The 13,544-nt window shown below is 49.0% G+C and overlaps 1 protein-coding gene across 4 annotated transcripts in view, besides 2 other annotated features; it reads right to left on the bottom strand.

The window, feature by feature from the left end:
• OSBP2 (oxysterol binding protein 2) overlaps positions 1–13,544 on the bottom strand; it is a 214,032-nt gene that overhangs the window by 132,526 nt on the left and 67,962 nt on the right. The window contains exon 1 of one of the 4 annotated variants that reach the window (NM_001282740.2): positions 10,896–11,035. The exons of the other annotated variants lie outside the window; for them this stretch is intronic. The gene's annotated coding sequence lies outside the window, so the exon portion shown is untranslated. Of the gene's footprint in view, positions 1–10,895; positions 11,036–13,544 lie in introns of those variants that run through there. 4 annotated transcript variants of the gene reach the window in all.
• Positions 2,123–2,622: an enhancer, noted in NCBI's record as "H3K27ac hESC enhancer chr22:31168653-31169152 (GRCh37/hg19 assembly coordinates)". NCBI's record gives its function as "activates a minimal SCP1, AML or CMV promoter by ChIP-STARR-seq in primed H9 embryonic stem cells {active_cell/tissue: H9 hESC(primed)}" and the evidence as "EXISTENCE:reporter gene assay evidence [ECO:0000049][PMID:30033119]".
• Positions 11,309–11,358: a silencer, noted in NCBI's record as "silent region_13618". NCBI's record gives its function as "represses an Ori minimal core promoter by ATAC-STARR-seq in GM12878 lymphoblastoid cells {active_cell/tissue: GM12878}" and the evidence as "EXISTENCE:reporter gene assay evidence [ECO:0000049][PMID:35858748]".

The following is a 13,544-nucleotide window of genomic DNA, read 5'->3' as shown; positions in this document are numbered from 1 at the left end:
TACACAGTGAAATGTGCACAGATGGGGTTTGCTGTAAAATAATAGTGGGGAAAGTAGATTAGTGGTTGCCACAGGCTGAGAGAGAGGAAATGGGGAGTCACTGCTTAGTGGGTGCAGGGTTTCCTTTGGAGTGATGAAAACGTTCTGGAGCTAGTCAGAGGTGATGGCCGCGCAACACTGTGAATGTACTAAATGCCTTTAATGGTAAATTCAATGTCGTATGTATTTATCACAATATTAAAATAGTAATAATGGGGGAAATAGGAAGGGCTGAGATGAAATAAGATTGGCCATAATTGAACATCATTGAAAGCTAAGTGATGAGAACGGGGACCATATACGTGTATATCTACATGCATAGAAATGTTAGATCTTTTCCATAATAAAATACTATAAAAAGTGATGCTATCATCTCACATAGTTACTCATTGTTTGGTAACCATTTTATTATCTATTGAATGCCCTAAGTATACATAATAAAATTCATCTTTTTAGAAAAAGTGGTGCCACAGATGTATACTCATTGACATGGAATATCCACAACATATTGTCAAGTTTAATGAGTCAGTTATAAAACCAAATATTGGGATTCTCCCACTGATATAAAATTCTATATCTAGATTGTCCGGAATTCTTGCAGTGAAGATTTAACTGTCATTACTGCTGGGTGAGTAGATTTGAGGGGATTTGCACGGTCTGTGCTTTTCTTTTTCCATCAAATATTTTTACAAAACTTGAAGCGTTTTCTTAAAAGGCAGAAATGTTTAGGGACACACCTTTTGCTCCTAGCATTCTGACTGAAGGGCCCCAAGGTGGTGGCGCATTCATAACACAAACCACTGGCTAGCTTGAGGCCTGGGCACTTAACTCCAATGACAATGCTCTCCACAATGACCGTCACCTCACAGAGGAGTTGAGAAGGGCCCAACTTTATTGTTGGCTACCCCTATAAATGACAACAACTCCAATGGTGATCCTAGGCAAGGCTTTCGCCAGCACACACTCATTTGTCCCCGCAGTGGATGTCAGGTAGGCTAGGGCTGGAACTATCCTTATTTTAGAGACAAGGCAGCTAGAGCTTGGAGGAGTTGGTGGGCTTGCCCAGGTACCACAGCTACGTAGCCAAGGAAGGGCCCAGCCCCCCTGGGGAGTCCAAGCCTTGCCTCCTCTCTCTTATGAGCCACCTCTCATTGGTGGTCAGGACTGTCCTGACCACCCATGACACTGGTCCTCCACTCGGGAGAGGAAGACCATTAAGCATTGATCTTGCATAGGTACAAACTCAGACACCTGTGTTATTACAACAGCCAAGCATCCCTGGCCCCCACTGCGCTTCACACAAATGGCAGCAGCTGGAGGGCTAATATGGTGACTGCCACCGGACTGCCCCTTGCTAAGGACTCCACTGCCCCTGCTGGAGTGCCTCTCTAGCTTAGCTCTCTGGAGTCACCTTGAAGTCCCTCATGGCCTCCCACACTCGGTGATATCCTTTGGAAGGACTTGCTTTTCCAAGATGGCTCTGTGAGGACCCCGAGACTGCTTATCCATGTGGCCCAGAGCCTCTACACCCAGAGCCTGTGGACCAAAGTGACCACTGTGTCTGGCCAGAGCACCAGCGCCCACTTCTCACACTCATTCATTCATGCAGTCTCTCTCTCCCTCCTTCCCTCCCCCATTCCTCCAACAAATAATTCGAGCATGTCTACTCTGAGACAAGCAGGGTGGTAGGCACTGGGCATTCAGTGGCAAGCCAGTTGTCACAATCCCCACCCTCCTGTTGCTATGGATTATCAGGGAAGTCAAACACTAAATAACTGTACAGGTGAATAATCAGTGCAACTAGGGTGGGTGCTATGAAGGAGTTGTATAGCACTCTTTCCACTACGTGGGAAGCTGACCTGGGCTGGGGAGTCAGGAGGGTGTCCTGGATAAAAAGGCATTTAAGAGGCCAGGCACGGTGGCTCACGCCTGTAATCCCAGCACTTTGGGAGGCCTAGTTAGGCGGATCACCTGAGGTCAGGAGTTCGGGACCAGGCACATACCTGTAAGCCCAGCTACTCAGGAGGCTGAGGCAGAAGAATTGCTTGAACCCAGGAGGTGGAGGTTGCAGTGAGCCAAGATCATGACATTGTACTCCAGCTTGGGCAACAAGAGTGAAACTCCATCTCAAAAAAAAAAAAAAAATCGTGTTTAACAGGCTGGGCTCAGTGGCTCATGCCTGTAATCCCAGCACTTTGGGAGGCCAAGGCAGGTGGATCACAAGGTCAGGATTTTGATACCAGCCTGGCCAACATGGTGAAACCCTGTCTCTAATAAAAATACAAAAATTAGCCGGGCATGGTGGCAGGCGGCCTGTAATCCCAGCTACTCGGAAGGCTGAGGCAGGAGAATTGCTTGAACCCAGGAGACGGAGGTTACAGTGAGCCAAGACCACGCCACTGCACTCCAGCCTGGGCAACAGAGCGAGACTCCATCTCAAAAAAAAAAAAAAAAATGCGTTTAACAAGAGCAGCCGTTCCCCGTGTGGTATGTGACACCTCACAGGGCATGGGGCTCATGCCAGCTAACAGCCGAGGTGCTGAGGCCAAGAGAGGCAGAGGACATTACTCAGCTGAGGAGAGGGAAACCCAGACCTCAGAGTGTCCTCAAAGCCAGGCCTAACCAGTCCCAGGCTCGCCCAGAGCCAGCAGGGCTGCTCCTAGGACAGGTAGGACTTGAGGGCTTCTGTGGCCAGGCTCTGAAGGTGACACTTCTGGCTGAGCTCACAAAACATCTCTGCACAGGAGTTCTCTATGACACAGAGCTGCCTCATTCATTACAAGACATCCCACGGGCCAGCCTGGCTTCCCTGCTTCTGGTGCTTAACAGAGACAAGGAAAGATGGGCTCATTTGTGGCTGCAGGTCTTCCACGACAGGCACGGTACCAAGACTCAAGAGCCTAATTAAAATGAATACCCTCATTCCTCAGGAGAGGTTATCTCATTTCTGAGCTAAGTGTTTCTGACCATCTTCTGAAGAAAAATGTAAGGTGGCTGCTGTGGGGGAAGGAAAACCCACCACTCAGTCACTAAAACCAGAGCTCACCCACGGGAGTCCCAACTTGCAGGATCCATCCAGGCTCTCCAGAGGGCAGTGCCTGAGGCCACAGTGAATCGCCAACTCCAGCCTGCAAGGTCAGAGCAGAGCCTGCCGCAGGGGCTTGTCTCTGGCCTGATTCTCTGGCTTGCGGCTGTCTGATGGCCCTTATACCCTTCTCTGCTGTCACCTGGACTAAGGCAGGCTACTGATGTGGCACTGTGCACACCAAACATCTGGGGGCTAGAGAGAATGTTCCTTCTGTGTCTAGGCATTGAGGCCTGTGGACAAGCACAGCCTCTGTCCTTTCCATGGAAGGAGAGCTGGCTCCAAGCCGTGGAGAGCAGGGAGATCATGAAACAGCCAGGTCCTGCCTCTTGCCACAGCCTGAGCCCAAGCCTGAGCCCTTCCCACCTTCAAGCTCAGCCTCAGTTTCTATAGCTAATCCTGATTCAGGTGGAAGCTCTGGACCAATGGTTTTCAAATCATCTGCGGTGGATGGATCTCATGTTGCAAACAGATATCCTTCACCAAAGACCACTGGCCACAGAACAAGGGAAGCAACCTAGGCTGACAAATGAAGACAGCCTGGAGCCCACCTATTGGCACCCCCACTGGCAGGTGGCCCCTACAGAGAAGTACAGTAGCTCACACCAGCCCAAGGCTCTGGAACCACATGGAAGCCTTGGGCTGCAGGTGCCACTGTGTTCAGGTGTGCCATACATGGGCAGGGGCCGCCACTGTGCTGCCAAGAGCCAGCCTCCACTGGACTCAGCCCTTCCTGTGCTCATCAGGCCCTCCCCAGCACCCCAGGTTGCCCCTCTGGAGCCTCTGGAAGCTTCTATGATTCCTGCCTGTGCCCTCAGCAACTTGCCTTGTCTTCCAAAGTTTCTCTTCCACAATCTATGGTTGTCATGCCTGCCTGTCAGCCTGGCCTCCCTCCAGAGGAGGGTCTGAGCCCACCATGGTTCCTTGGCCTGGGCTAGACACAGGTAAGGGGGCAGCCTCAGTGGACATGGAGCCCAAACGACTTTTGCCTGCCCTCCTGCCGATGGCAGGGAGAGGACTAGAGGTGGTCATGGAAGGCTTCTTGGAAGAGACCAAGTCTCAGGAAGAGCCAGCAACGGGGACAGGATTTAAGGCTTCCTCGCTATATATACTTTGGTGGCCCCTCAGGCATGACCTTGCCCTGCTTTGACTTGGGAAGCTGAGGCAGGAGAATCGCTTGAACCTGGAAGGCGGCAAGTTGCAATGAGCCGAGATGACTCAAGCAGCCGCAATGACCATGCTGGATCGGGCCAGGGCAGGGTACCTGCTCTGAGCTGTGCCAGAGCCTCTTACCTAAGAATTTGAAGCTGGAGCCAGAGATGGCAGCCACAAAGCCAGGCAAGAGCCAGGGCAGGCCAGGCCCACCTACAGAACGAAATTATGGAGGAACAAAGAAACCAGGCTACAGAGGGAAAGGACACAGAGGGGACACCGGGAGAGAACCAGAAATGGGGGTGTCAGAGAGAGCAGCTGTGGACACACCTCTCCCCTTGGATGCTCCACTTCCTGCACCCTGAGCACAGGCCCCACTTGTGTTTCAGCCAGTCTCAGCGGGGTTTTGTTCCCTGCCACCAGTTGACCCTGGATAGAAAACCATGAAAAAATAATTTTTAAAAAACTAATTAGTAAAACAGATCCCTGTATGTATTAGTCTATTCTCATCTTGCTAATAAGGAGACACCTGAGACTGGGTAATTTATAAAGGCAAGAAGTTTAATGGACTCACAGTTCCACATGGCTGTGGAGGCCTCACAATCATGGTGGAAGGCAGCCAGCCCGGTGTCTCATGCCAGTAATCCCAGCACTTTGGGAGGCCGAGATGGGCAGATCACTTGAGGTCAGGAGTTCGTCAGCCTGGCCAACATGGTGAACCCTGTCTCTACTAAAAATACAAAAATTAGCCAGGCATGGTGGCACACACCTGTAATCCCAGCTACTCAGGAGGCTAAGGCATGAGAATTGCTTGAACCTGGGAGGCGGAGGTTGCAGTGAGCTGAGATTGCACCACTGTACTCCAGCCTGGGCAACAGAGCGAGACTCCATCTCAAAAAAAAAAAAAAAAAAAATCATGGGGGAAGGTTAATGAGGAACAAATTCACATCGTACATGGCAGCAGGCAAGAGAGCACGTGCAGGGGAACTCCCCTTTATAAACCATCAGATCTTGTGAGACTTATTCACTACCATGAGAACAGTATGGGGGAAACCACCCCATGATTCAATTATCTCCACCTGGCCCCACCCTCAACACGTGGCAATTATTACAATTCAAGGTGAGATTTGGGTGAGACACAGCCAAACCATATCACTGTCTATGGAGGTATATCCAGTGTGGGTAGAAGACATCCCACATGCATGAGACCATCACACACAGATCTGTTGTCAACTAAGGACCTGAGCTGAAGAGCCTGGAATGGTAGTGATGACGACTGGCATTTGGAAGCTGTTCCACGTGCTTCCCTCTCACCTAGACTGTTTTGTATTATTTAATTTAATTTAACATTTTTTTTGTTTTTGAGATGGAGTCTCTCTCTGTTTCCCAGGCTGGAATGTAGTGGCGCAATCTCCGCTCACTGCAACCTCTGCCTCCCAGGTTCAAGTGATTCTCCTGCCTCAGCCTCCCGAGTAGCTGGGACTACAGGTGCGTGCCACCACACCCAGCTAATTTTTGTATTTTTAGTAGAGACCGGGTTTTGCCATGTTGGCCAGGCTGGTCTCAAACTCCTGACCTCAGTGATCTGCTCTTCTTAGCCTCCGAAAGTGCTGGGAATACAGATGTGAGCCACTGTGCCCAGCCTAATTTAAAAAGTATTATTGTTGTTGTTATTTACCCTCACAACCATCTCTTTATGTAGACATTATTTGTCCCTGTGATGGGCAAAGAAATTGGAGCTTAGAGAGGGAGAGGGCCTTGTCCAAAGTTCACACAGTGACTCAACAGCAACGCCAGAATCCCAAATTTTGTGTCCCTTTTATTAAGCCATACTTGTTCATACCACCAGGCATGGTACTGTGATTCAGCAAACTGACCGAGGGGCCCCCTCAGAGCCCAGCTTTCTAGTTCCGTAGCCCAGAATACTCAGCCTCAACCTTTCCATGACCATCTCCAGTCAAAGCTCAAACTGGCAAACTGAAATGCAGGGGGTACCCCAGGGAAACGTCACAGTCCTGCCAGCCTCAGGTTTAGGTCAGGCATCCGGTCTGGACCCCGGGGCCCTCCACCTCTGGATTAGTGACATCCTGAGTTGACAGCCTTGCCTGCATCAGAGTCCGGTGCTCATGCCTACAGATCCACGTGAAGGTTAACACCTAAACAGTAACAAAGAATAAACTCCAATCTGATAATTACAAACGAAAGTGCTATTATGCCCTCTAGTTACAAAGGAAACAATTAGCAATCAAGGTAATTGCCCTAGCAGGAAAATGATGCTTAAACTACCTTAATGGCAATAATGCTCTTGGTTTTTGTTTTTGTTTTTTTTTTTGAGATGGAGTTTCTCGCTCTTGTCCCCCAGGCTGGAGTGCAATGGTGTGATCTTGGCTCACTGCAATCTGGGCCTCCCGGGTTCAAGCGATTCTCCTGCCTCAGCCTCCCGAGTAGGTGGGACTACAGGCATATGCCACCATGCCCAGATAACTTTTATAGTTTTAGTAGAGACGGGGTTTCGCCATGTTGATCAGGCTGGTCTCAAACTCCTGACCTCAGGTGATCTGCCCGCCTCGGCCTCCCAAAGTGCTAGGATTATAGGTATGAGCCACCATGCCTGGCCACAGGAATGTTTTAAACTAGACAACCACTTTTGTTATGCTCTGACCTCTTCATAAGAAGAACCCCCACCCCCAGAGGCGTATTACATAACGCCTACTTCTCTACTGAAATAAGGTGGCCACTTCTGGGCTGGCTCCTGGGCTTGGGTGGCAGGCTAAAGTCCCATGAGGAGGGGCTCAGAACAAATGCTGTCACCCCCAGGGTGAAAATCCAACTCAGTTTCTCTGAGAACTGAACACCAATCTCCTTTGAGCTCTGCACATGCATTCAAACTCACGAGTGACCCATTCACCCTGGGCCTCTTTCAGTTAGCACTGATTTATACAGGTCTCTCAGGGGTAAGCCGCAGCCATCTGTATGGGTCATAGGGTCACATCTAAATCCAAATTGTTCACACCTCCTAAAGAATAAGACCATCATTTTCCTATGCTACTTTCTGGTGGCTCCTTCTTCTCCTAATGTGGATACCTGGGAACTGACTGTGCTCTCACTAGCAACTCCCCAACCCACGCCCCTCACCCTTTACCCTGCAGGGCCCGTGATGAGGCCAAGGGTCAGAAGACACATCTTGCCAACGCCCAGCCCTCCTTCCTTGAGAAGGGCCCGGATCCTCTCCCAACTGAGAGCTGTTAACCTCTCTTTGGTTTCTCTGAACTGAACAGAGCCCAGCTTGGCTGCTGGAAGCACATGTGCGGCCCCTTTCTCAGCCCTCTGCATTCCCTTTTCTACTTCCTGCAAACTCTCTAAGACAGGGAGAGGACTGGCTCCTTTAAATAAACTTCATTCCAACCCACTGTTAATTTGTTAGATATGATCATAGCACTTTGGTTATGTTAAAAAAAAAAAAAAAGGAATTCTGATCTTTTAAAGATACATCCAGACATGTTAACAAATGGGATGCTATGACCTCTGCAATGGGCTTCAAAATGATAGAGACAGAGGAAGAGGATGGAGGCATAGAGACAAGGCTGGCCATGAGCTGGTAGCTGGTAACTGTGGCATCTGGGTGACAGGTATGTGACGATTCCTGAGAGTCTTCTGTTCACTTCTGTTTATTTTGTATAACAACATTTTTTTTTTTTAAGAGAGAGAAAGTCTTGCTCTGTTGCCCAGGCTGGAGTGCAGTGGCGTGACCTTAGCTCACTGAAACCTTTGCCTCCCAGGCTCAAGCAATTCTCCTGGCTCAGCCTCCAGAGTGCCTGGGATTTCAGGTGCGTGCCACAACGCCCGGCTAATTTTTTTTTTTTTTTTTTTTTTGTATTTTTAGTAGAGATGGGATTTCACCGTGTTGGCCAGGCTGATAACAACAGTTAAAAAAAAAAAAAATTAAATCCCATCCCAGAGCTTTTTTTGTAGCATCCTTAAGCCCAACTGTTCTGAGGTTTTTACCTGCACCTCTGTCAATCAACACGTTTACGGAGCAGCAACTATATCCAAGGTGCTGCTAAAGCTGCAAAGAGTGAGCCACTTGGCCCTGACTGCAGTGCGCCCTCAGGATGCACCTCTGTCCTTGACCTGCAGAGTCCTGTCCTCTATTTTATCACAATCCCCCAAAACCTCATTTCCCAGACTGAGCACTGGTTTTTCTCTCTCCCAAAACCAAGATGGGCAGTCAGGTACTCCCCTTCCTGGCCATATGGAAGAGACTGAGTCTAGCTTCCTGTCCCGGCGTCATGGAGGGGAAACATGGACTCCCTCGCTCCTCCCTCAGTCTCACTGGATGAAATGGCCCAGGTGTGAGTCAGGGCAGAGAAGAGTTTGAAGGGAAGAGAGTCTGACCATCTGCTTTTTGGAGGGTTTAGGTGAGGTCAACCAGGCCAAGAGCGTGGAGGGAGGCACTGGCACTACACGGGCTCCAGGCCTGAATGCCTGGACACTGCCAAATGCAAAGGGCTCAAAACTTCAAGAGCACAGAGGCAAGACGACAACTAAAAACCCTATGAACTAGCCTAGATATGTTTATTTGTTCAAAAAGCTGTGTGGTATTATTGGGAAAGCCTAAAGTCATAGCCAGGGAGGAAGGAATTTGCACCTTGAGCTGCTGAGAGATCAAGGAGGCATGGCTGTCCCGCCAGGTACCATTCAATGTTCATTCCAGGCCACCAGAGAAACAGAAACTAGTCCCTTCCATGAGCCATACCCTTCACTACTACCAGTTTTTTGTTTTTGTTTTTAGAGAAAGGGTCTTGCTCTGTCACCCAGGCATGATCATAGTTCACTGAAGCCTTGACCTCCTGGGCTCAAGTGATCGCCCCACCTCAGTCTCTTGAGTAGGTAGGACTATAGGTGTGTGCTACCACACCCAGTTACTATTATTACTTTTTTTGAAAGATGGGGTCTTGATATGTTGCCCAGGCTGCTCTCCACTCCTGGCCTCAAGCGATCCTCCCACTACAGCCTCCCAAAATGCTGGGATTACAGGCATGAACTGCCATGCCTGGCTCCACTATCAGTTTTAATGACCAATAATTCACGCTTATATTCCATTTTCTCAGTTGGGGTGAGAACCATGAAGAGAAAGTCTCTGATGAAGAAAGGGTATAGCACTCCTGATATAGACAGAAGTGGTTTTCTTAGGTAGAGAGAGGGGCTGCACCTAGGCCTAGAAGGCAGGGGCCAAAAACTCAGATACAATGCACTTGATGAACAATAAGGCCCTACACCATCACTTTTGTCTTCCTGGATCCAGCACATTAAATAAATATGTGGAGTAAAGCTGAATTAAACCTCCCTCCAAGAAAAACATGGAATTTGGAGATGGGGGAAGAGAGATAGCAGCAATAAGCAATCCAGGGAGTCTGACAGAGCGGACTGTGCTTCTCAAAGTGAGAAGCTTGGAGGGCTGGCAGGAGCCCTGTGTAGAATGTTTATTATAAAAATGGGGGAAGGTAGGGAGTGGTTGCTCACGCCTGTAATTCTAGCAGTTTGGGAGGCGGAGGTGGGCAGATCACTTGAGGTCAGGAGTTCAAGACCAGCCTGGACAACATGGTGAAACCCATCTCTACTAAAAACACAAAAATTAGCCAGGCATGGTGGCACAAGCCTGTAATCCCAGCTACTGGGGAGGCTGAGGCAGGAGAATCGTCTGAACCCGGGAGGTGGAGGTTGCAGTGAGCTGAGATCGTACCACTGCACTCCAGCCTGGGCAACAGAGCAAGACTCCATTTCAAAAATAAATAAATAAAAATAAAAAATAAAAATGGGGGAGGGCCGGGTGTCTCACACCTGTAATCCAGCACTTTGGGAGGCCGAGGCAGGAAAATTGCCTGAGCCCAGCAGTTTGAGACCAGCATGGGCAACACGGTGAGGCCCTGTCTCTATAAAAAAAATTTAAATTAAATTAAAACAAATAAAAATTAAAATGGGGGTCCCTAGGTGCCATATGACCATCGGATCTGAATCTCAGTGGTCCTGCCCTAGGAATCTGCAGTTTTAACATGCTCCCCCAGGAAGACTTCATGTCCCTCAAAGTAAGAGAGAAGTTATTCAGTTTTCTTTTCTTGTGTTGTTTAATCCATACCAGTCAAATTTTCACTCAAGTGAGTTCATAAGAGAGTTCTTTATACTGTCTGGCCAGCTGGGAGGATGGGGCTTCTCTCCTCCTCAGGACTGAGGGGTCTGAGGGTCAATAGCTTGAATGCACCTATATTTTCCCTTTGTTCTAAGGAGAGCATAACCCTGTTCCCATCCATCTTCTTAGGGAGTGAGGACAGAGGCAGTGGCCACAGAAGAACCTGGATCAGTATCTGCAGGCATTCTCCAAGCCCTAAGGAATGTCTCCCCCAACAAGTAAGAAACACTGTGCTTTGTGAAGTCATTCCTTCAAACGGGAAGAGAGGACTGTTAAGTGGACCAAGCCCACTTGCATCCCCAGGCACACAGGCAGCAGGGTTCCCGAGAGCTGTTTACAGAGCCAGAACAACGCCACACTCCCTGGGAATTTATTTCCACCTCAGTGGGATCACACCCAACAGGAACAGGAGGAAATTCTTCCAAGTCCTACCTGTTAGAGGATTTTCATTTTGGAGCAATAGGGTGGCAGGCTGTCCAGGTATTCTTTAGGGCCAGCCTCTAGGGCCACCAGCCACCCAACCCCCTCCTCATCCCCGCCCACCCCACTCTACTGCCTGCTCTAGTTGCTCTAAGGGCAGAGCCTGGGCTGCCTGGGATAATTCCAAGTGCTGGGCTGTGATATCAGAATAGAGTTATGACATCAATGGAGGGTAGGCGAGCCTAGGGGAGGCGAGAACCGGGGAGCCCCTGAGGCGCTAGGCTAGCCCCCCAGAAGTGAAGGCCCAAGAGGGAGGTGGCCAGCTCTGTATCGGTTTCTTACAAACCTGAACATCAGAAAATGACTCACAGGTACGGAGAGATTTGTTGCAAGCCAGCCAACCTGCTGGTGCTTCCCTAGACACTGAGTTACAGAAAAGAAAGCGAACAAGCCATCTTCTAGCGCCCCCCTGTGTCAAGTAAAAGGATACTATCTCTTTTCTGACTTGGAGGTTTGCCTTTGGACCAGGGAGTTGGGAGCAGAGACCCCAAGTGGGCTGGGGGTCAAGGTCCCCCAGGATAGGGTTAAATGCTCGTAGATAAAATGCAGGATGCCCAGTTACATTTGAATTTCAGACACACAATAAATAAATTTTAGTATATAGACTGCCCAAATATTGCATGAGACATCCTTATACTAAAATATTATTCGTTTTGTATTTGAAGCTCAAATTAAACTGGGTGACCTGTGGGTTTTTTTTTTTTTTTCTGTCACTCTGTTGCCCAGGCTGGAGAGCAGTGGCTCAATCTCGGCTCACTGCAACCTCCACCTCCTGGGTTCAAGCAATTCTCCTGCCTCAGCCTCCCAAGTAGCTGGGATTAGAGGCATGCACCACCACACCTGGATAATTTTTGTATTTTCAGTAGAAACAGGTTTCACCATGTTGGCCAGGCTGGTCTTGAACTTCTGACCTCAAGTGATCTGTCCACTTCAGCCTCCCAAAGTGTTGGGATTACAGGCGTAAGCCACTGCACCCGGCCAACCTGTGTTTGTATATTTTGAATCTGCCAATCCCACTCAAGGAGCTTTTGAAAAAAAATACAAATACCCTCTGCACCCAAAAGTCATTCTCATTCTGTTTTAGCAGGGCAGGGGACTTCTTGGGAACCTGTATTATTTTAAAGCTGCGAAAGTGACTATCAATAACTGCAGCTTACTTTAGTCGAGTGTTTGCCAAGCCGTGTGCCAAGATCTCTTCACACATTATCTAAACTAATCCTCACAGCACCTCTAAGAGTTGGTTCTATCATGAAACCCATTTTACAAAGGAGAGAAATGATGCAAAAGACGGCAAGCAACTTGTCCAAGGTCACACAGTGGGTAAGTGTGGGAGCCACGATTTGAACCCAGGCAGGCTGGCTCCAGCATCTCTGCTTCCACTGACTTAGAAATCTTTGATTGAAGGGACCCTGGGAAGCACAGAATTGAAGCTTCTAGGGGACTGACAAGCGGGGACTCTGAGGCTCTAGGAAGCCCATGCTCAGACTAACTGCTACGCTACCATGCTCGAGGGGCTGAGCCAAGGAGCAAACACCTGGGAGCAAACATCTGGCCCAGGCAGGAGGCTGGCTCAGAGAAGGCTTTCCTGAATGGCCTCTCCCTGGAGGGTAAACAGACTTGAGGAAAATAGGGTGTGGGAAGGGGCTGGATACTAGGGAACAGACCTTGCCAACAAGAGGTACAGCATTCACGCTGGCTGGCAGCAAGATGGTGTGCCAGTGAAGACAGCAGAAGCTGGATGGGTCTAGAGCGCAAGAGGAGCCAGAGAAGAGACATAAATCAAAATTGCATTTTTTTTTTTTGGAGACGGAGTCTTGCTCTGTTGCCCAGGCTGGAGTGCAGTGGTGCAATCTCAGCTCACTGCAAGCTCTGCCTCCTGGGTTCACCCCCTGCCTCAGCCTCCCGAGTAGCTGGGACTACAGGCGCCCGCCACCACGCCCGGCTAATTTTTTGTATTTTCAGTGGAGACAGGGTTACACCGTGTTAGCCAGGATGTCTCGATCTCCTGACCTCGTGGTCCACCCGCCTTGGCCTCCCAAAGTGCTGAGATTACAGGCGTGAGCCACCGCGCCCGGCCCAAAATTGCATTTTATTTTTATTTTATTTTTTATTTTTTATTTTTTGAGATGGAGTCTCACTCTGTCACCCAGGCTGGAGTGCAGTAGTGTAATCTCGGTTCACTGAAACCTCTGCTTCCCAGGTTCAAATGATTCTCTCCTGACTCAGCCTCCAAATAGCTGAGACTACAGTTGCACACCACTATGCCTGGCTAATATTTCTATTTTGGGTAGAGATGGAGTTTCGCCATATCGCCCAGGCTGGTCTCGAACTCCTGGGCTCAAGTGATCCACCCGCCTCGGCCTCCCAAACTGCTGGGAGTATTATAGTTGTATGGTTTACATTTTGAGTTAAATTTTATATAAATAAGAAGTATAAATCAAGATTCATTTTATTGCATATGGATGTCCAATTGTTCCAACACTACTTGTTGAAAAGACTAACCTTTCTCAATTAAATTGTTTCTGCACCTCTGTCAAAAGCCATCTGACCATATTTGTCTGGGCCCATTTCTGGACTCTCCATTCTGTTCCATTAATGTAT

This window comes from Homo sapiens, chromosome 22 (assembly GCF_000001405.40).
Source record: "Homo sapiens chromosome 22, GRCh38.p14 Primary Assembly".
NCBI classification, from domain to species: domain Eukaryota; kingdom Metazoa; phylum Chordata; class Mammalia; order Primates; family Hominidae; genus Homo; species Homo sapiens.
Note: the sequence above shows the minus strand (reverse complement) of the source record. Positions and strands in the feature narration are given on the sequence as shown.